The following is a 21,841-nucleotide window of genomic DNA, read 5'->3' as shown; positions in this document are numbered from 1 at the left end:
TATATTTGCTCTGTGACCTTGGACAAGCATTTCCCCTCTCTGAATCCTCATGCCTCACCTGTGAAGTAAGGCAATGACACCATATGAACTCTCAGATCCCTGCCAGCTCTGACAGTTCATGATTCTGCAACCAGTCTCAATGCAAGAGATAGTTTGTCATGAATTATGGCTGCAGGACTCCATAAGGCTTAGAAAGAAGTATTTACTAGAAGTGCATTTCCTGCATTTTCCAGAGCAGTGTGAAGACCGAATCATTAGATTCTTGATTTAAGGGTTCTGGAACTCTTATCTAGTTTTAACTTCAATGACAGAAATGAACCCAAAGGAAAACTGTAAAACTGACAGAGTAAAATAACCTCCATTATTTCAAACTTAATGGAATTAAAAATAGAAACAGCATAAAAAGAAGAGTGTCTAATTGTAATTATTTAAAACAAATGGCTTGAGCGATGGAAGCTGGACCCAAACGATGTGCACGCCAGGCTGCTCTGAGTCCCTTGATTCTCTTTTAGGTTTCCCCAGAGGACCTCAGTATATCTCACCAACAATTGCGTGCTCCATTAAGCACTTGGCAAAGGACTGGATGGACATGTGTAACCCAGACGTTTCTGTGGAAGATTAGTCCTCCCAGATGGAGTCCTCATCTTAAGAATGTGTGCAGGATTAAGATGTAATCCATTGCTTCAAAGAACATGATGATGCACAAAATAAAATGCTCAACTTTAGTTTTCCTCTAAAAGAATTCTTTAACTATAGAGGATACATTAATAAACAGAATCCTCTATTTAATGAAAGGTCACCTCCCTTTCATCTAAATTCTCAGAGAGTAACTCTAGGAAGTAATGGGAAATGTTGAAAAGATTAAACGCATGCACACACACACACACTTACGCACACACACACCACCTTGCTTTATCATTTTTTTTAACCAATGAGAAAATTTCCATAGCTACATGCAGGCCCATACCTAACATCAGTGGTGGTCCAGCCACCTTCCCTTTTCCCATCTGCATCCTACTTGGATGGGGTCTTCTATGCTTGGGTGCACACCAGCACATAGTGATAGCAGTCAACATTCAAAATGGCAGACCTACAAGAGAAGCCCTCACAGGCTCTGATCATGGACTCAGAGACTCTGGGCCAGGGAATCTGAAGTTCTGGGTCCTCAGAATATGGTCTGAAAGCAGATGTGGGCTCCAGATAAGCATTTCCCTTGGTTCCTCAAGCTCTTCATCCCATGGGGTGGGACACGGCTAACCTGGCATATGTGCACCTCTCTGAAGATGCCATTTTTTTCTCTCTCCACATATGATAATGCACATGTCTTTGCATCAATTTCCTAAACAGCCCTCCAACTTTAAATGTCTCAGCACATCAAAAGTGGCCCCTCTTGGAGGATTTGAAGCACAACAATATGTTGCAATATCTGTGACATAGCTGTAAATTCATGAAAACACATTGGAATGAACTTCTGGGGCTGAAAATAAAGTTTCTCTTATACAGAAGCAGCTGAAGCCCTAAAATAAAGAAAATTAACATTTCGCTGAGAAACAACTATATACTCTTATTCACATTTATGAAATAAAGAAAAGCATAATCACTGCTCTGTCTCCATTTAATAAATTTCCCCGGAAGCACCATGAAACCTCTATGACCCATGCTTGTCTTTGGCACCTGGCTCAGTGTCTGGCATGTAGTGGATGATCAATAAATATTTGTTGAATAAATACATTTAATTCATTCTTTTAATCTGCAGAACTTCAGCGCCTTTACTGTAAACAATTGGTTTAATTTCAAAACCCACAAAATAAAATAGACCTGTGTTTCCTATCCCATGTCTGTTTCTGTAACTGCAAATGTTTTTAATCTTAGGAAATGCATGTAGCCACATGGTGTGGCAGTGTTTACTCAGCTATTCTTCATTATGAGAACTCAATTTACTTATGTAGTACTCTTCAAAAGATTATGTGAGCTTTCAGCTTTTGGCTTCAGGCAACAAACTGGGCACTGGTAGCAGCAGCAGTGAGAAGACAGTCACTAGTCAGAAGGGCCCAGGAGAGTGAGGAGACCCCGTCAACGTCTTTCCTTCAGAGCATCTTCACGACACGGCATCTGTTGGCATCAACCAAGATCCACGGCCTTTCTTGTTTGTTTACTTTGCTCTTGTCATCTTTTCCTCTCTAAACTTCATGGCATTCAGACATCTACACACCAAGCCAAGTAATTGCTGCAGCAGAGGCAAGAAGACTCTTGAGCCAGCTAGGATCTGGGGAACAGTGGAAAGGTAGGATCTGTGGTGTTGCTTTGCCCAAGATAAAAGACTTTAAAAGCATTTAGATATTTTTTAGTTGATACTTATAGTGCCATGATGAAAGTTAACATTTACAATAAAGACATTTTTAAAATTATAAACTTAGTTAAGAGACTTGTAATCACACTGTGATTGTGCTTTGTTAGATGAAAAGAAGTAAGGTACAAAACTACATACAGTACACTCAGGGCTGGTGGTCACTCCAGATGTGCTGGTATGGCCAACCTGGCCTAGTACTAGTAAATAGTGTCCTCCTGCTGCACTGGCCCATCCTCTAGAGTCCCTCGACCATCCCCACCATCCAACCACTGAAGGGTTACAGTGGATCAGTGTCTCTGATATACAGGTCATTCAACATTTTAAATATTACTGAATATGATCCTATGTTTTAACTTATATGTGTGTGTGTGTGTGTGTGTGTGTGTGTGTGTGTGTGTGTGTGTGTGTATAAAGAAAGAAAATACACCATAATGCATGGCAGTGATTATACTGAGAGCTGGAATTGTGAGTGATTTTTATTTTCTTCTTTATGTTTGCAGGGTTTCTACAGTTTTGTACAGTAAGCATATATTGCCATTATGGCCAGAGGAAAGAAGAACAAGAATGTTATTTGTTAAAAGAAAGAGAGGCTCTTAAAAGAAAATAAATCATCCCACTATTCACTCATACCTAATTCGTTCCTGGTAGCAATTTACTAAATTTCATATACACTAAGTTTAATAAATACATCTGGGTGCCTACTATGAACACAGCATACAGAATGCCAGGTAATATAAAACAGGACCTCTGTCGAGGAGTTCACGATCTAGTTTGGTGTTAAGACACATCACATCACACACACACACACACACACACACACACACACGCACAGCTCTTCCTATCTTTCTTCAAATATCATGGTCCCCAGGAGGCCTACCCTGACCATCGTGTGTAACACTGCAGCCCCACCTCCACCTAGGCACACTGGCTTCTCCTTACCCAGTTCTAATCTGTCTTTCTCCATACCACATAGCATCTCCTGCAAGAGCCCTGAAGCAGCAGTGCAAGCAAGTGTATTTTCAGTGCCCAGTGAAGCTATAGGCTGTCAGGGGAAGCGAAAGGAACAGAGAGACCTAAATGCTGCCAAGAAAGTGCTATGGAGGAAGTAGGACAAAGAGATGAGGAGGAAACAGTCAGCCTTGAAAAAATTAGTTTACCTAATCCTCAAGCCCCTAATCTGGAGGGATAAATCACAAACAGCAAGCCAATTTTTTTTTAATTGAAGGGCACCTTAGTCATCAGAATAACAACCTCACTTCATTGTAATTTCAGGTACAGGGAAATTTAATCCTATAATTCTAGTGGATACAATCTAAGGTTCCCTAACCAAAAATTTGACCTGGACTTGAATTCAGGCTTCACATGTGTTATCTCTGTGACCCGGAGAAGGTTATTAACACCTCTAAGCCTCAGTTTCCCCACCCATAGAGTGAAGATAATAGCAGAGCCCACTGTAAGGGATTGAATGGCAGGGTGACTGTGGAGCCCTTCACTCAGTGCCAGGAAGAAAGTCAGTGCCTGACTTGGCAAATGGCGCTTTGTTGAGAGGGAAGGAGCACAGACCTGAGGCTGAGCAAGTGCAGCTCTGCATGCTTGTCCTCTCCCTCCCTCTGCCTGAGAAGAGGCAGGTGTGTAGAAGTGGACTGAGCTGTCTCAGTGCAAAGCTGTAATGACATAGCATGCAGAGACAGTCCCATTATCTGCTGCTGTATAAGACATGCATCTTTACTAACTTCCACTCCCTCCCCTCCTGGGAGAGCCTTCCTTTGTTTCTCCAGTCCCTATAATCTCACCGTGCATGGTTGACACATGCTAGCAGGGCAAGCGACGAAGCTTGGGCGGACTCACATGCTCAGTGAGTAAAGACGTCCTCTGTGTCTCAGGGACATGGAAAAACCCAATTGCAAAAAGCTGTGCTTTCCTCCTACCCCCACATTTGCAGAATATCCCTGGAAGTGCTCAGTCTGTAGAAAGAATAACCAAAGTGACAACGTTCCCCTTCAGCTATTCAGGAGAGCTTCAAAACAGTCATTTTGCTGTGAAAGGGGGAAAAAGCCTCCTTAATCATACCAAGCTATGATGGATGTCTCTGGAGTTGAGGGAGTTTCAAGTGCTCTTAAGAGACAGTTTTAAGGTCACACAGAAGAAGGTAGTAGTCTTTTTAAGAGGTCAATTTGACCCTAACACCCAGGTCTCAGTGTTTTCCTAAGCAAGACACCACTCTTCTTGGTAGTCCTTAGAGACATGAGCAGAACACATGTTCCACAGATCTCTTGAAATCAGTTTCCCCTCTGTGCGACAACAAAGATCAACTGTCTTCTTTGGCCCAAAGGGGAATGGTTGTTTGTGGCGTCATGTCACATGTGTTAGCATCTTCTCTGTCCTCCCTGTGCTTTGGATACAGGACTGTAATCTTGTGGAACATTTATATTACACAGTGCCACAGCCGATCACTTAGAAAATAAATTTTACTCCTACCGTTGCATAGCCCCTCAGGTGACATGTCACCTAGTTACTACAGTCTGCATATCCATCTTGTCTTTGTCCTTTTAATCCAAGCAAAACCCAAACAATATCATGAATCTAAAACTAAAAGAAACCATTCTCATTTCCTGGCCCTAGAACTAAATGCATTTTTTAACCCAATTTTGAACCAAGGCTCTTTTCTAAGCTCTCTTGAATCTATCTAAAGCAGAAGCAAATCTAGTTTCCTGATTATTAATCTGGAACTAAACTCGAATTTTATTTTAATTTATTTATTTTTTATTTATTTGAGATGGAGTCTTGCTCTGTCGCCCAGGCTCGAGTGCAGTGGCTTGATCTCAGCTCACTGCAACCTCCGTCTCCCAAGTTCAAGCAATTATCCTGCCTCAGCCTCCCTCCTGCCCAGCTACTGTTGGGATTACAGGCACACACCACCACATCCGGCTATTTTTTGTATTTTTAGTAGAGACGGGGTTTCGCCATGTTGGCCAGGCTGGTCTCAAACTCCTGACCTCAAGTGATTCACCTGCCTCAGCCTCTCAAAGTGCTAGGATTACAGGCAGAAGCCACTGTGCCTGGCCTTAAACGAGAATTTTTAAAACTCTTCTCTAGCCTGGGTGACACAGTGAAACCTCATCTCTACCAAAAAAAAAAAAAAAAGCCAGGCATAGTGGTGCATGCCTATAGTCCCAACTACTTGGGAGGCTGAGGTGGGAGGATCATTTGAGCCCAGGAGGCCAAAGTTGCATTGAGCTATGATGGCACCACTGCACTCCAGCCTGGTCAACAGAGCAAGACCCTATCTCAAACAAAACAAAACAGGACTCTTTTCTGAGCTAAATGTGCCCCAAACCAACTCTTCATGCCATTTGAGTAAAGCAGTTATGAAACATCCTGGTGTCACATGCTTCTTTTGGAGACAGTGGGGCATGGAGGCCTGAAAACAATTTGATATTACTAGAATAAAAAGTACAAAGAGTGGTGGAAGATGGAACTTTAATCCACTGCTCAAAGTTTAGTCAGTGATCTGAAATAAATCGGACTAGAGATCCTTGGTAGTAATATGCCTCATTTGGGTAACATCAGAAATAGGTCAGGAGTCAACACCAGGTAAGTCCATCAGAGGCCAGACACAGGCAAGAGTAAGGATCCAGTGGAAGTTATGGGCTGGGTGGGCAGGAATGAACCAGGCAGATTATGCAGGAGGCCAACTGAGGCAGGATTCAAGAGACTGGATCAGGAACCTGGAAGCTAGCAGGAAATGGAGGAAGAAAGAATAAAATGTAAGAAAGTCATCAAAAAAGGACCAATGTCCAAAAAGACCTTAATAATGATGGGACATTCTCTGGTTACAGAGAAGATGAGAGCTGAATGGCCTAGCCAGGATAACTTAGGCTGAGGTGCCAGGAGATGGCTGCCACAGTTTTCTAAAGTCTAGCCTAACCCACAACTGGGCTTCCAGAAAATATGTATACCCCATATGTAGTATATGCACTTACATGCTTTTGTATGAATGAGTTCCTGCAGATCTGAGGTATAGGTTTGCTATTATTTTCCTATATGTATGATGTACAGCTCGCTCAGACAAGAATAAGTCTTGTAAAATAATGTCTCTAAGAAGTGCTGCACTATTCACCATAGCAAAGACATGGAATCAACCTAGGTGCCCATCAGCAAATAATTGGGTAAAGAAAATGTGGTACATATACACCAGAGAATACTACACAGCCATAAAAAATAATGAAATCATGACCTTTCCAGCAACGTGAATGCAGTTGGTGGCCATTATGCTATGCAAATTAATGCAGGAACAGAAAACCAAATACCACATGTTCTCATTCATAAGTGGGAGCTAAACAGTGGGTACACATGGGCAATAAATATGGCAACAATAGACACTGGGGAATCCAAAAGAGAGAACAGAGGGAGGAGGGCAAGGGCTAAAAAACTACCCACAGGGTTTCCATCCTTCTACTTAGGTGATGGGATCATTTGTACCCCAAACCTCAGCATCCTGCAATAAGCCCATGTAATAAACCTGTACATGTACCCCTGAATCTAAAATAAAAGTTGGAATTATACAAAATAAAAGAAATGCTACTGATCTGGGTTTTTTCCCCTTTTGACATTAGACTCTTGACTCTAATAATTGGAAAAATACCACCTGGTATTTCTCTTTAACACTACTGCAAGGGTTCTTTAATCCTAAACTTAATACGGGTAACCAAAGGATATTTTAAGACCAACATGAAATCTAATCTTCATGCGTCTCCATACCCCAGCATAAGACACACGCAGAAGGTTCTGATACCAAGCAGGCTTGAATTCACTGAGGAGCAGCTAAAGAAAACTTGTGGTGTCATTGGGATCCTTTTCTGGATGTCTCACATATTCTTGTCCCCAAAGCGGGGTGTGTCCTACACATTTATTTTTCTGGAATCACAATTCATATCAAATCTCCTACCTACTCAGAAAGAAGTCAATGATCTCCCACCAACAATTAGAGAAAATCCATACTCTGGTATACCTTTGGGCTTCTTTTCCACTATCACCTTCCACAGATCTTTCATATTAGCCATGCAGAGCTACCTGCTGTGTTCAGCCGGATCTCACACTTTCCCACCTGTATGCTTTGCTCATGCAGTTCCTCAGCCTGGAATATCCATTTCCCATTCTGTTCCCTGGGTTTAAGTCCTACCTATCCCAAATCATAAGCCCTTCCCTTGACTATTGCTAGTTCCTAGCAGCTTAATCCCTTGAATTACAATTTGCAACACTACTCCAGTAACATTTCTGCATGTCCTGCCTTTGGGTCAGATGATCATACTCAATTCAATCCCATTTAGTTTTGAGGAAATTTGTCAACTGTATAGGACTCTCGGGGAGGAGCACTTAACATATAAACAAACGCCAAAATGAGAGCAAAAGAGATAATACACTTTTACAATGGTTTGAAAGTGTCGTGTTTTGAACATGTCAAGTTAGGGACGTGTCTCAATGACATCTCCACTCAAAAAGAATGTGACTTCAGGAGGAAAGTACCTGAAGGGAGTTTTTAGGGGTGATGGAACTGTTCCATAACCTGATTGTGGTAGTTGCAACCCAAATCCATAAATGTGTTAAAATTCATATAACCGAACACAAAATGAATTAAAAAGCCCATTTTACTATACGATTTGTTATAATTGTTTTGCCAGAGAAGTTAACTATGCATCATTAGTCATTATTTTTCTGAAAATAGGGTCAACCAGGGTCTGATTTTGCATTCACCCACTCCAAGGAGATAAACAGTATTTGTTGTGTGTTGGGAAGAAAGAAGAGGGGGCTGGCAGAAAGAAAATGTTTTATGCCAAACAATACTGTACAGTTTTAAAACTTGGGCTCTTAGTATACGTAGCACCAGACTTAATTTGCAATTTCCTTTCTCACATACCTTAAAACAAGACCTTAATACAAATATAACATACAGATTTTATATACAGCTTTTCTTCATCTGACCTAGACCTTTATATTTATTTTCATTCATTATTTCTTATCTAATTAGTTTAGTTATATCAACTAAACCTGCTGCAGGTGATGCAGGCAATTTGCTTCAGAGCCATAAAACTATACGTGCTTTTATTGTTACTACAGGTTTCCAAAGTATGCAGTAATTTCATCAATTGCCTGACATGTTTTATCAGGTTAATAATTCGTTTCTATATTATTCATGGTTTGATGACTATGGTAAAATCTAGATATGTGAATCATACATTTTCTAACATAGTATCTTTGCTGTTGTTTCTTTACATTAATCTAATTTCCATCCTCACCTAATTCTATAACAATCCTAATTGAAACCCACAAGGGGTAGTTAAAATTCAGGCTCAACTGAAAAAGGATTTAAATGAGTTCTTAATGGAACCCAGAGACCTGCCAAATTTAAAAGCTGCCTAATTCCTAGCCAGGTTATAAAAGACTTTCAACAGTAGAAAGGTGCAGCCCAGAATCTCGGCAGATCTTACTGTGCTCCGTGGTGGCCAGACCAAATTTTGGGTTTTTTGTTGTTGATTTTGTTCTTTTTCTCTTCAAAAAAGCAAAGACAAACACAACGTTAAAACTTTCCTCATGTTACTTTCCTAAAAAGCACTTTCTCTCAGCCAGGTTATACACATTGTATGTTTTATGCTATGTCTCTATTTTGCATAACAGCAATTAAGGTGCAAAATCAACAACAAAAATGATGAAAATGTGGGGTTTGGAAAATTCTTAGCAAAGTGCTCATGCAGAATTAACTTCCATAATTAACTTCCATATGTACTCTTTGCATATGAAGTCACTGGGCTTTAGAAGGATAAGATTCTAACTTAACTCTCAAAAAAAAAAAAAAAAAAAAAAAAAAACAAGAAAAAAAGTTTCTGCTAAAGACGAAATTATTACCTCAGTTCTCTGCTTCAATTAAAATTGCATTAATGGAGGGCAATTTGACCTAGGGAAAATTTAACACTGGCCAGGCTAAAACCAAAAATCAATACACAAAAGTGGGGGAAGGGCAGCTTTTTCCAATCACTCATATCCAAACTTTCACAGCTTTAAAAGTACTTCACCATTTTTTCCAGTTTTGGCACAGTACTTTTCTTTCTCTAGGAAAAAATTTTAATGGTAAGATACAAGAATTCTCTTCTGTGACAAATAATTGTGTCTTTCCTGGATTTCTTCTATCAATTTCTCACTGGAAATTTTTAGATAGAAAGTTTGAGGAAATTCCTGCCCAGAAAGGAATATAACTATGGAAACTTTAAAACTCACAGTTTCACAGTAAACCATACAAATAATCACGACATACAAACAAGAGAGAACTTTCTCCAGTCAAGACATTGCATCGTGTAAAGCACAATGATGAATGATCACTGTAAAGTAGAGATTACATTTGGGGCCTCTTTTCTGTTGCTGCCACCCCAGATAGCTAGCATACTGCTCTGTTAGAGCATATGAGACTCAGTCATTGTCAGTTCAGTAAACCAGCCATCAAGCATGTCCCATGTCCATCACCTAGAAATAACCAGACCAGGAAACAGAACTGAGAGGTGCTGTCTCGTTTGATTCTCTTTTCCAGCCTTCTGCATGTGACTGTCACTGGGTGATATGGTTTGGCTGTGTCCCCACCCAAATCTCATCTCAAATTTTAATCCCCATAATCCCCATGTGTCAAGGGATGGACATGGTGGGAGGTGACTGGATCATGGGGGCGGTTCCCCCACACTATTCTCGTGATAGTGAGTGAGTTCTCACGAAATCTGATGGTTTTATAAATGGCAGTTTCCCCTGGGCTTTTCTTTCTTTCCTGCTGCCTTGTGAAGAAGGTGCCTTGTTTCCCCTTTGCCTTCTGCCATGATTGTAAGTTTCCTGAGGCCTCCCCAGTCCTGCAGAACTGTGAGTCAATTAAACCTCTTTCCTTTATAAATTACTCAGTCTTGGGTAGTATCTTTATAGCACTGTGAAAACGGACTAATATACTCAGGGGGGTGCCAAAATGGTTTCTTCTGGCAGACTTTCATATTTTCTTAGCCTGACAACAATGATCTCATTATTACTGACCCATCATCAGGAGAATAAAGCCCACTTTAAACTGTTGTTTCCCACAGAGGTGATGGATTTGTGCAGATCCATCCATATTCTCCTGGGCTCATTTGTGAGTAGCTGGTAGAGAAAAGGCATAAGCTATGGCCAGAAGAGGGCAAAACAGGTGACCTGTGTGGAGATCAAACCTATAGTCTTTTTAGCATGTTCTACACCTAACCCCTCTGAGAGGCCTCAGGGAGCTGAATAGAAGATAACAGTAATAAGACTCGGTCATCAAGAAAGACAAGGAGCTGGGGAGATGAACACAAATGAATAGGTACTTGATGTGGACAATAACTAACTATGTCTTTGGGAGATAACATGGATATTAAACAGATGATTAAATCTTGTAAAGTATGTAATAGTTCTGTGAATGTTATGATCTTTGTTTTCGAAATTAAGTCAAGAAATAATTATATAGCAATTTTAAGTAAAACACACATAAACTCTCAAAGTGTCTTTGCCTCAACTAACAGCAGTTAGAAAACTTTTCTAATTACTTAATTAATAAGGAACTCGAAATTAACTTTTAAAACTAAACTGCTAGAGCTATTTTTATGCCTTGATGTTTATATTTCAAGCAAACAAGTCTTTGGACATAAATTTCCTTTTGGAATTGCCTCGGTTGTCTGCTTTGTTGTGTCGGCATGGTGTTGTTGAAAGGGAACTTGGTGATTCTCCACTTCAAACTTTCTGTTTTATAGAATGAGAGGACTTGGATGGCTATGCACTCTGGTGAAGGAGGACCAAAAGCTTGAACACAGCATCTGACTTCCAAGCTGGTGCTCACTGCACTACAGCAAGCTGACTGCACTGATTTATAGTAAATTAACAAAAGAGAGGGAAAAGGAGACAAATCTGTCCTTTGACTTGACTACCATGAGAATGTCATTTTATTCTCTTACGGTTTTTGTAACTCAGATCACAGATAGATCCATCCATGCCTGTTCAGCTTGAAGTCAAGAATATGTGGCAGTCTACTTGAGAAATAGAAGCAGCATCAAAATAGATACTGGAAGTGTTTACTTTACAAATCATGTCTTAAGTTAAAAATTGAATAATAGCTGGGGATCCACAGTCCTTCAACCCAGTCATCCCTTCAATGTTTCTGAGAGCAATGCATGTTCAGAAAGGAAGACCAGGAAAATGCACCTTTATTACCCAGAGGCCTTTGCACCAAAGCCCATGATAGTTCCACTTATGTCAAGGCCAGAGAAAGATTAAGTGGTCTCTTACCCCTCTATTTATTGCCCCAGCCTACACTGAAGTCTCCTCTTCATCTTATCACTCTGATGGCAACCAAAGCTTAGTCCAAGGAAATATGCCAAGGGAAATGAAGGGAAAGCAAGAATTTGCCTGTGGGGCCTAGGACTTGTCTAACTTCCTTCCACGAGGCCTCTTTAGGAAGGAAAAGTCTAAAACAAAACCAACACAGATTCAGACCCTGAACTCACTCTCCAATTACACCAAAGCTCCACAGCCTCGTACTGTGGGCCAATCAATATCCTTGACCCTAATTCATTCTCATCAGAACTCCTCCCCTTGACTTGCCCTGGGGAAGAAAAAGCTAATACAAAACCTTGTGCTCCCACTAAAGTCAAATCCCCCATTGAACTCTGTAGAGTGTAAACACATTCAAACTGAGACCAGAGTTAAATAGAAGCCTACAGGCTAGACACCCAGCATCACCTCCTCCTGATTGTGAGTGATAGAAATTATCCCTGATTGCCTTCAGATAGCCATTTGCTTTTGCTCAGGCATAGGAGATGAAGAGCACCTACCCTGTCTGCAAATATATAATAAAATCCTTTACCTGATCTGAGAACCCTGAATTTTTGTCCTAATTTTCTTAGCCCCCAGAACATCCATTTGGAAGCAGGAAAAGAAATTTAGTTCAAACCACTGGGGAAAAGAAATATAGTTTAAACAACTGAGGGAAAAAAAAAAGACAACAACAACTACAACAAAAATAAAGCCCTCTTATTCCTTCTCTTGGATTGCAGTTTACTTTCAATCTTCCTTTGTTAGCCTTAGTGCATTTTGGCCTCTCTCTCCCACAGGAGTTCAAGCTACCATGATACCATGATAGACTAAACAAGGAGCAAGAGCTATTAGGGTCCACACATGCCACTTGGTCCAGAGGGCATTTGGCCAGGTTCCATCCTCCCCTTTCACATAAACCTACTCTTACTTCCTGAAACCTTTTTCCATTCGTGCTTAGATCCATTTGGGGGAAATTTTCTAAGTAAAAACTGGATTAAAAACTGAGTAGAAACTGACAGGGAGGAAAGCCAACATATAAATAGTCTCACTTTGCCAATTTCCTGTAAGAAAAGTGATTTTTTGGCTGGATGCATGGCTCACGCCTGTAATCCCAACACTTCAGGAGGCCAAGGTGGGCAGATCACCTGAGGTCAGAAGTTTGAGACCAGCCTGGCCAACATGGGGAAACCCCATCTCTACTAAAAACACAATAATCAGCCACGTGTGGTGGTGGGTGCCTGTAATCCCAGCTACTCAGGAGGCTGAGGCAGGAAAATCGCTTGAACCTGGGAGGCAGAGGTTGCGGTGAGCCAAGATTGTGCCACTGCACTCCAGCCTGGGCAACAGAGCAAGACTCCGTCTCAGAAAAAAAAAGAAGAAGAAGAAAGAAAGAAAAGTGATTTCTCACTTTAAAAGCTCCAACATTGTAGAGTAAAAGCCCATATGGTGTAGGTTCTGGGTTTGTATGGGTCATGTTGGGTCTGTGACCCTCCAACGGTTGCTGCCAGCTGAGGGAAAGGGCAACTTCATTGAAATTTGTTATAGGTTGACCAGATTTTGCCTCTTGCAGCCCCGGAAGAGCAAGAAAACTTCATTTAGGTTTCACATTAATGATAGATAGCCACTGATACAAGTGTGGGACCAATCATATAATGCAATCTGGATATTATTTGGAAGAATTGAATCCAGCCTATTCACATAAAGAATTGTCTATTTCCCTGTCTGATTCATTGGCTGCCATTACTCCCACGTCTCAGAAGAGTTATAGTTTAACAAACTTTTTCGATCCGTGAGATACAAGTACATTAAAACCACCAAGATGGCCATCCTTCCTAAGAGCTGAAATGACCCTTTTTACCCATTGGTAGACTCTTACCCATTTTCAACTTAGGGGAAAATTTCTTACTGGCTGCCCTTTTCTAAGAGGTAGAGCTGAGAACAGGACCCCAATTTCCTGGCTCTTGTGTTCCTCTTGGTTTTAGAATTACATATACCCTTTTGGTGTGCCTCTTTGGCTCCAGCTATGTTATTAAATTATTATTACCTAACAATACTCCCATTAATCACCGTGACAGATGGACACCAGCCCTGGTCGTGTTCTCTGAACTCAATGTCAAACAGTCCCAATGCTAATGGAGATGACGCCAGCCATGAATTAGCTCTAAAAGCTTCTGTTTATCCCTCCACCCCCTTTCTTATTACTTTCCATTGCAATGCCTTTTTCTTGTCACAAGACTCCATACTTCTATATGGAATGACTCCTTGTGGAATTCTGAGAAATGGTTTTCTGTTGACAGACACCATATAATGATGATAAACGATGGACAAGTCAGCAGTCTAAAAACTGTTATTCCCCTAGCAGCACACTTCCAAATACATGGAGTATTTCTACAGGCTTAAGCAGCAGAAAGCTGCAAGCCTGGAAAAAATTCTCCATTCAGCCTCCTTTCACAGACTAAGGAGCAGAAGTGATACTAAACAGAAAACGTAAATCACCTGTAAGGTAATACGCCCCAAATGATGCCTTAAAGTGTTGAAGGTACATAAACAGTTTCTTTACAAAAGAGCTTTGTCCGGACTTAACTATGAATGGGGATGTTAGTTCTTGCTTCCTCTGAATAAATTACAGCTTGTAGTAAGAGTGCTACATAATAGTGAATGTCTTCCTCTGAAAAGATGCATATACTTTTTAAACTTTTAGTTGAAAGCCATTTGACATCCTACCTCTTAAGAAACTACTAAATATGTAATTCTTCACAACTAACAGGTTATTAGCAGAAAAAAATATATATGATAAATATGCATTTCAGCAGCCCAGAAAAGCGTAGGACAATTAATTAAACTTCCTCTACTGCTCACATCGAAGGATGCTAAAAGCATTTCAAAAGATGGCATTTCACAGTCTTGTTGGATGAAGATTTTCTACCTCACTGATCCCACTGAGAGAGAAAAAGAGAAAGTATCATGAAAGAGGAAGAGGACACTCCAAAAGTTGCTGCTGCTCTTGCTGTTGATATCACTATTGATATCTTGCTACTGATTGATTCAGTTACTAAGTACCATAGGCCAAACACAGCTTTAAGATCCAATACGGTAGCCACTAGCCACATGTGATGATTTAAAAATTAAATTAATTAAAATTAAATAAAACTTCAACTTCAGTTTTTAGTACAGTAGCCACATTTCAAGTGTTCAACAGGCACATATGACTAGAGGCTGCCATATTGAATAGTGCAAATGATAGAACATCTTCATCAGTTCACTTGGACAGCACTGGCAGAGAGTAATCATTTATTTATCCACTCAGTAAACAGTTGTTGAATGCAGTGGTCACCAAAACAAAGTTTGCACCCTCAAGGAATTTACATTCTGCAAGAGGTAGACAGACAAGAAACAATAAGACAGATAAATGGACAAGATCATTTTACCTAGCATTAATTGAATACAACCAGGTGATAGGGTAGACAATTGACTGGACTGGAGGTGAGGTGGAGATGGGGGCTAGTTTTAATTTTTTAGTTTAGTTTTAATTAGGTAGCCACTGAAGCCCTCATTTAGGAGGTAACAATAAGCAGAATGTCAAATGACAAGAAAGAGGCAGCCATGGAAATCCAGGTACAGGGCATTCCATTCAGAAGCAAGAGAAAGTGCTCAGGCCCTAATGTAGGAACCATCTGGAGCATCCAAGGGACAGGAAGAAGGCAAGCTGGCTGGCATGTAGACAGATGCATGGTAGGAGGTGACATCAGACCTATCAGCATGAGCCAGGTCCAGTAGGGCCTCACCAGTCATGAGGGAGGGTTCAGATTTTATCCTTCAAGGAACCAAATTATCACTCCCTTCAACCTCTCAGTTTAGAAAATATGCTTTGAAAAATAACTCATTCTGTTATTTCTCACCAAAAGAGATTGCCCACTGAACTATAGACTTAAAAATTATAAAGATGGTGGAACTTATTAAAAAAAAAATTACCCTCAAAGGCATGGCCCAGATTTGCAGGCAACTGCTGCTAGGAATAATCAAACCTTATACTTATTCAGCACTTGCTCTGTAAGTCATGCAGAATTTTATGAACATCTCATGACTTCCTCTAACATCTTTTAGGAAGTATTAGTATAGTTCATAGAGAATGAGTAACTACAAAAAAATAAAAAATAAACGACAGCGAATGGCTTAGAAGCAAACTCCACACCAATAGCTCAGTGCTTGAGATTGCACAACTTGCAAGACTACCCAGATAAATAGCAGAATCACCCTTCCCATCTACAAGAGAGAATACGATCATTTACTTCAGTTAGTAACAGAATAAGAATAGACTCATATATTTCAGTGATGGAAGGAAACCTGTCAAATCCCTCTTTTACAGTTGAGGAAATTGAAGAGAAAAGGTAAGCTACTTTTCATTGGCACATGGCAAAGAGTTTTCTACTATTATGTAGATGAATTAATCATTTTCAAAAAGAGGTAAAATTGGTTTTATTCATGAACTAAGCAAGTACACGTGCACTTTAGGGATGAAATTGATTGTTCAAAACTCCATGAAAGAGCACACTCTCTGTCTCACCTTTTCTTCTGAGTCTGTGAGCTGGAATAGTACTGTCATACTTCCACAGACATGAGGCTGCCAGACAAAGTGCTCTGAGAGTGCAGGTAAGTGTGAAAGGATAGAGTAGACACCAAAGGGACCCCTGGATTTCACATGAAATCTCAAGGAACAGTTGGAAGGTGTACACAGGCAAAGGCGATCCTTATGAAAATCTTCCTAAGATATACAGACGAGTCCTGTCTACCACTAATCTTGCCTTCTGCAAAAAATCGGGGTAAAACAAAACAAAACAAGCAAAAGTGAGTTTCTACCTTATTTCTCTTTTCTCCTTCTCTCCTGACTGTGTCTCGCACAATCAAACCTCAATGCTTCCTTCATTTTCCTTTTTCAACAGAGGGGCTAATTAGTGTTCAACTTTTAGCACACTTCTTATACTGGCTATTTCTTTTTTCAAGCATTTTATACAAAACTCTCAAGTTTGAAATTACAGAAACCTAAAGTAAATAAGAAATACTTGTTCTGCTTTTAAGAAACCTTGTTCTAATTAGCTGGTTCATTTTTAGGTCCAGATGCTAAGTTGAAAGTTTTTTTTTTTTCCTGAAAGAATAAGATGTAACAAAGTTATGATTTTTGGAACATTTTCTCTGTCTGACTCCCTGTAATGTTTGTTACCTGGCTACTGCTTGTGGAGAATGAGCTGAAAGAGATCATGAAGGGTACATTGTTAATGACTAAAGTGACAAGACCTAAAAGACAGGGACCCTGACCCTTCCACAGGCTAAGTGGCTAGGCTGGGCCATGAGGTAAGATGATCATGTCTTCAGGCTTCTGGTCTCCCTCACTAAAACAAAGATGACACTGACCATTGGCTAATGACTAGAGTGATGTTTGTGCACAAAACATAAATTAAGATCTTTAGAAATGTTATGAAATGGATAAACACATCAAATGAATTAGCTCTTCCCACTTCTTTGCAAAATATAATTAATCTCTTCTAGAGAAGAGTTTAGGAACCCTAAACATGATCTAAGTGAGAAATCATAGATTATGGGTGAAAAAATATAAAGTGTTGATTGCTCAATATTTCTAGGCAAGGATGCTGTGCTGCAGAGAGCCAGATGGATTCCAGTTAGGACTGACTCTGGCAACTGAGGATTACTGCCTGTTGGTTAAAGAGCAGACCAAAAGAGAAGCAGCACCTCAGTGCAAACCATACACATGTGTATGATGTCAGACCCAGAACTGGAGTGGCCAGAGACAGCAGACCCCCAAAATCTAAGTAGATTATATACACAGACTCTGGACAAAAACAGAATAGCCCACATAAACAATCAAACCTCTAACATACTGAGAGCAACGCCACTGGGACTCTTGAAATGGTGAGAGAAATACAAGCTGTCTTACTATACATAAATTTTATCCACAACAATTCATTATTTTAAAAAAAAGATGGCCACAGAATGCACCTTGCAGTAAGTCCAGTAGAAATCGTCCCTTTTTTGCAAAAGAGTACCCAGTGCTAATAATCCCAAATTAAAATGTATGAGCATAATGAACAGTCATCATCATCATAATACATCTTCCATCACAAAACATTTCACCAAAATCATTCTTGTCACAAGCTCTAAAATCCTGACGTCTGGACAAAGACATAAAACATAGTCTAGTCCCAAGTTTAATATTTTCTGTGGAGGATGTGGTTTTATTTGCTGTTAATCCCAACTCTTGCTGGAACACACTTTTCTAATTCATCCAGATAGTTGTCAATGTGTTGCCCAAGTTGCCCTTTCCTTCCTCAGCTGCTGTTTCTTGTGGTATTTTGCAATAACTCATAAATGACTTGCCTTGTTACTATCTCTGCTCAAAAAAGCAAACTGCGTTTTTCTGTCTGTTTTGGAAAAAATAAAAGTTTTTCAAAATAACAGAGCCAACAGATCAAAGAGGCCTGATCATGTATACAAGCCCAAGAAAGCCACTCCTCACTGAGTCAGAGTTATGAATGAACAGCTTTGGCAAGTTCCCTTTGCAATGGATGTGACAGAACATAATGAGACATGTCCATTTCCTCAAGTCTTGTGTGTGTGTGTGTGTGTGTGTGTGTGTGTGTGTGTGTGTACATGGAGAGATAATATTCAGCCAAATGCATAACCCTCACACCTTATAAGATAATAACACTTGAGATTTCTAACTTCTACTTGGAAGATGTGTTTATTTATAGAGAAGACACAGAAAGATATTCTAGAGACAGGGAAATTCAGGCAACAAACATGTCCTTCCAGCTTTTATAATCCCTCCACCAGTCAGTACCTTTTCATGTATGCCTGAGAGTCTCTAGCATGGTATAGAAATGAAGAGAGAGAGAGAGAATACAGATCTGGCTGATGCTGGGACAGGTCAATAGTAGACTCTCCCTCAAAAACTGAGAGGAGTTTCCATGAATTCCAGTATGAGAATGACCTCTGGGGTCAAAAGTGTTTCAAACCTTCTACAGCTGAACTCCACTCCCTTCCTCATGCAGATCTCTTCAAAACCCCTGCCTGTGCCCAGCTGACCTTGTGACAGTCTGCATCTGACAGTCGCAGGTTCCAAGTACTGTGCTTGGTCCCACTGGTGGATTCTCTTCCTACCTTACTTTCATATTCAGCCTCCCCGCTTGGTAAAGTGCTTCATTCTTGCCCCTGTATATTTTTTATTAAATATTTATTGAGTACCTACCATGGTCAATTACTATTATGTTAGATGCTACTGTCGGAGCCATAAAAATAAAACTCTTTAAGAAGCTGACCATCTATTAGGGGAGGAAAACAAGTTAATAATTACCTGAATGAAAGACAGAAAAAAAGTGCAAGTGAAGTGGGTAAAAGTGATTTATTCCGACTGGGTTAATTTGAGCATTTCTTGGGTAGTGATTGGCTGAACTTTGACAGAAAAAGAGGATTTCCATTGGAAAAAAGACATGAAGAATGAAGGACATTCCAGACTGAGGAAGGAGCATCAGCTCTTAGCAAAATAAAGTACCAAGAAATGGCCACAAGTCCAGGAAGGGTGGAAAATAGTGAAATGAATGGATAAATATAGACCAGGAGATTTAGGGACAGAAGATGGAGAGCCTCAGATGTAGGCTCAAGAGATGTGGAGTCAGAAGGATGAACACAAGGGTGCTGGTGCCTATATGTAAGAATATTTTGGTGAATGATGTGAAGTTCTGTAATGGGCATGTTGAATTTGAGCACAGGGCTTCTATTTTTTTTAAAGTTCCAGGAGGTAGCTGGAATTTTGGAAGTCACCTTCATGGAGATAGCTCTGTCTGAAGGGAATTGGATGAAATCAGAGAAGCACACTTGACCTGTTCACTGTTGGGTCACAAGTGACAAGCACAATTCCTGATGCAGATTAAGTACTCATTAAATATTTGTGTAATCAATAAATGTAATACAAAAGAAGTAAGTAAGCAGAGGTTGAATATTGAGGAAGGCTTCAATTTATCAAGGAAAAGTTAATGAAAATAGAGGGGAGAAATTAGTAAAAGAAATACAGGAAGACTACAATATCTCAAAAACCAATGAAAGAGCAAATCTTAAGAACAAGCAAATGTATTCAATCATTTATTCAACAATATTTTTTGAAAAAACAGGGTCTCACTGTCACTGAGGCTGTGGTGCAGTGACACAAACTCAGCTCACTGCAACCTCCACCTCCCAGGTTCAAGCGATTCTTGTGCCCCAGCCTCCTGAGTAGCTGGAATCACAGGCACAGCCACCACATCTGGCTAATTTCTGTATTTTTAGTAGAGATGGGCTGGTCTCAAACTCCTGACCTCAAGTGATCTGCCTGCCTCAGTCTCCCAAAGTGCTGGGATTACAGGCATGAGCCACCATGCCCAGCCTTATTCAACAAGTATTAACTCCTCCTCTGCATGCCAGGTATTATTTTGTGTGCTGGGAACACAGCACAAAACAAGACAAAAAAAGAACCCTGCTCTTAGAGAGCTCACTTTCTAGACAATAGTTAGCAATGCTCAATGCTCATTGCTTCTGGAGATGTTAAATGGGATAAGAATAACAAATAGCTACTAGATTTGGCACTTAAAGGACCTTCAATAGTCAATCTTCAGTAACCTTGAATAAGTAGTTTAGCGGAGCAGTGGCAATAAAAGTCACATTTATCATGTCTGTTTTTGTCTTTGTTTTTGTCTTTTTCCATTAGCTTTTGAGGGCAGGCACCAACTCTATTCATTGTTGGATTCACACAATATGGCAAACAATGATTGGATGCATATATGAATTAGTAATAAGTGATTAGAAAACATGTGTTTGGTAGTGAAGAATAAGCCCAGAATGAACTTTTAACTCTGTTAAATGAACTAGAAAGATAGGCCATTACCTTTTAAGTTATATTGGTCAGAGTTTGGTTCAAAAAAAACAGAATTCATTTATTTTAGTCAAGGTTTTAGCAGAAAAGCAATGCCAGTGTGAATGATATGGAATAACGGAATTATTAAAGTGACTGACCTTATGCAATTGTAGAAACTGCTAAAGAATTCAATGGAAGACTGTTATTGCCCCGTGGGTCTGGTGCAGGCCACCTCAAGTTGTAAATCTGTGGACTGGAAAGCAAAGAAAAGGTAAGTGTGAAGTAGGGGAACCCAGAAAGACAAACTGTAACGTGCATCTGTCTCTCAACTTCCCCAATCTCAATGGGGATGTGCAGAAAGTGCTGGCACACTTCACCACGAAACTGTAAACACACCTGACCTAAGATTCAGAAAAACTGAAGGATGAGGTCTGACAGGAGCTAGGAGAATGTGGGCCCAGTGGCTGCCTCGTGTGGAGGAGCAGCAGGTGCCTTGTACCCTCCACCAGGCTTCAGAGTGTAACATCTGCTACTGCACTTCCACCTTCCAAACCTTGCAAATTTATTTTGTAGCCAGCCCCAGCTTTATCCTACCAAAACCCATACAGGAAACAAATTCTGGGAAACATAGTTCCAGCTTAGTCGACACATAACAAAGGCATTGCAGTCTGCCCCTTTTCCACCTCCCTCTTTTAACTATACTTACCACCCAAATAAAAATAATAACAATGTCATGCTTCTACCTAACATCATAAAACTCTCCTCCAACCTGAAACACTGACCCTGTTTGTATCAAAAATATTCAAAGCCCCTTTATCTGTCTTTTGGTGATGCTCATTCCTTTTCTACTTGAATCATACTTCCCCCTTTGATATTCCATAACTTGGCTAGTAAGATACAAGGTTAGGCCAGGCACAGTGGCTCACTCTCATAATCCCAGCACCTTAGGAGGCTGAGGCAGAAGGACCACTTGAGCCTAGGGGTTCAAGACCAGCCTGGGCAACACAGGGAGATGTGCCTGTGGTCCCAGCTACTTAGGAGGCTGAGGTGGGAGGATCGCTTGAGCCCAGGAGGTCAAGCCATGATTGTGCCCCTGCACTTCAACCTGGGCAACAAAGTGAGACCCTGTCTCCAAAAAAGAGAGAGGTATGAGGTTAGGTGGTAGAGAAATGGAGGAGGGCAAGAAAAGAATTTGTTTATGTGTGTGTTCATATCAAAATAAGAAAGAAACACTCGTAATAGTA

General features: G+C 40.4%; 1 long non-coding RNA gene across 1 annotated transcript in view; it reads right to left on the bottom strand.

The window, feature by feature from the left end:
- Window positions 1-21,841, bottom strand: part of LOC101927947 (uncharacterized) — a 469,997-nt gene that overhangs the window by 394,011 nt on the left and 54,145 nt on the right. The window contains exon 4 of the long non-coding RNA XR_007058336.1: window positions 20,756-20,850. This is a non-coding gene — a long non-coding RNA (uncharacterized LOC101927947). The remainder of the gene's footprint in view (window positions 1-20,755; window positions 20,851-21,841) is intronic.

The sequence above is a fragment of the Homo sapiens genome, chromosome 4, assembly GCF_000001405.40.
Source record: "Homo sapiens chromosome 4, GRCh38.p14 Primary Assembly".
In the NCBI taxonomy this organism is placed as follows: Eukaryota; Metazoa; Chordata; class Mammalia; order Primates; family Hominidae; genus Homo; species Homo sapiens.
This window is presented reverse-complemented; position numbering and strand designations above follow the sequence as displayed.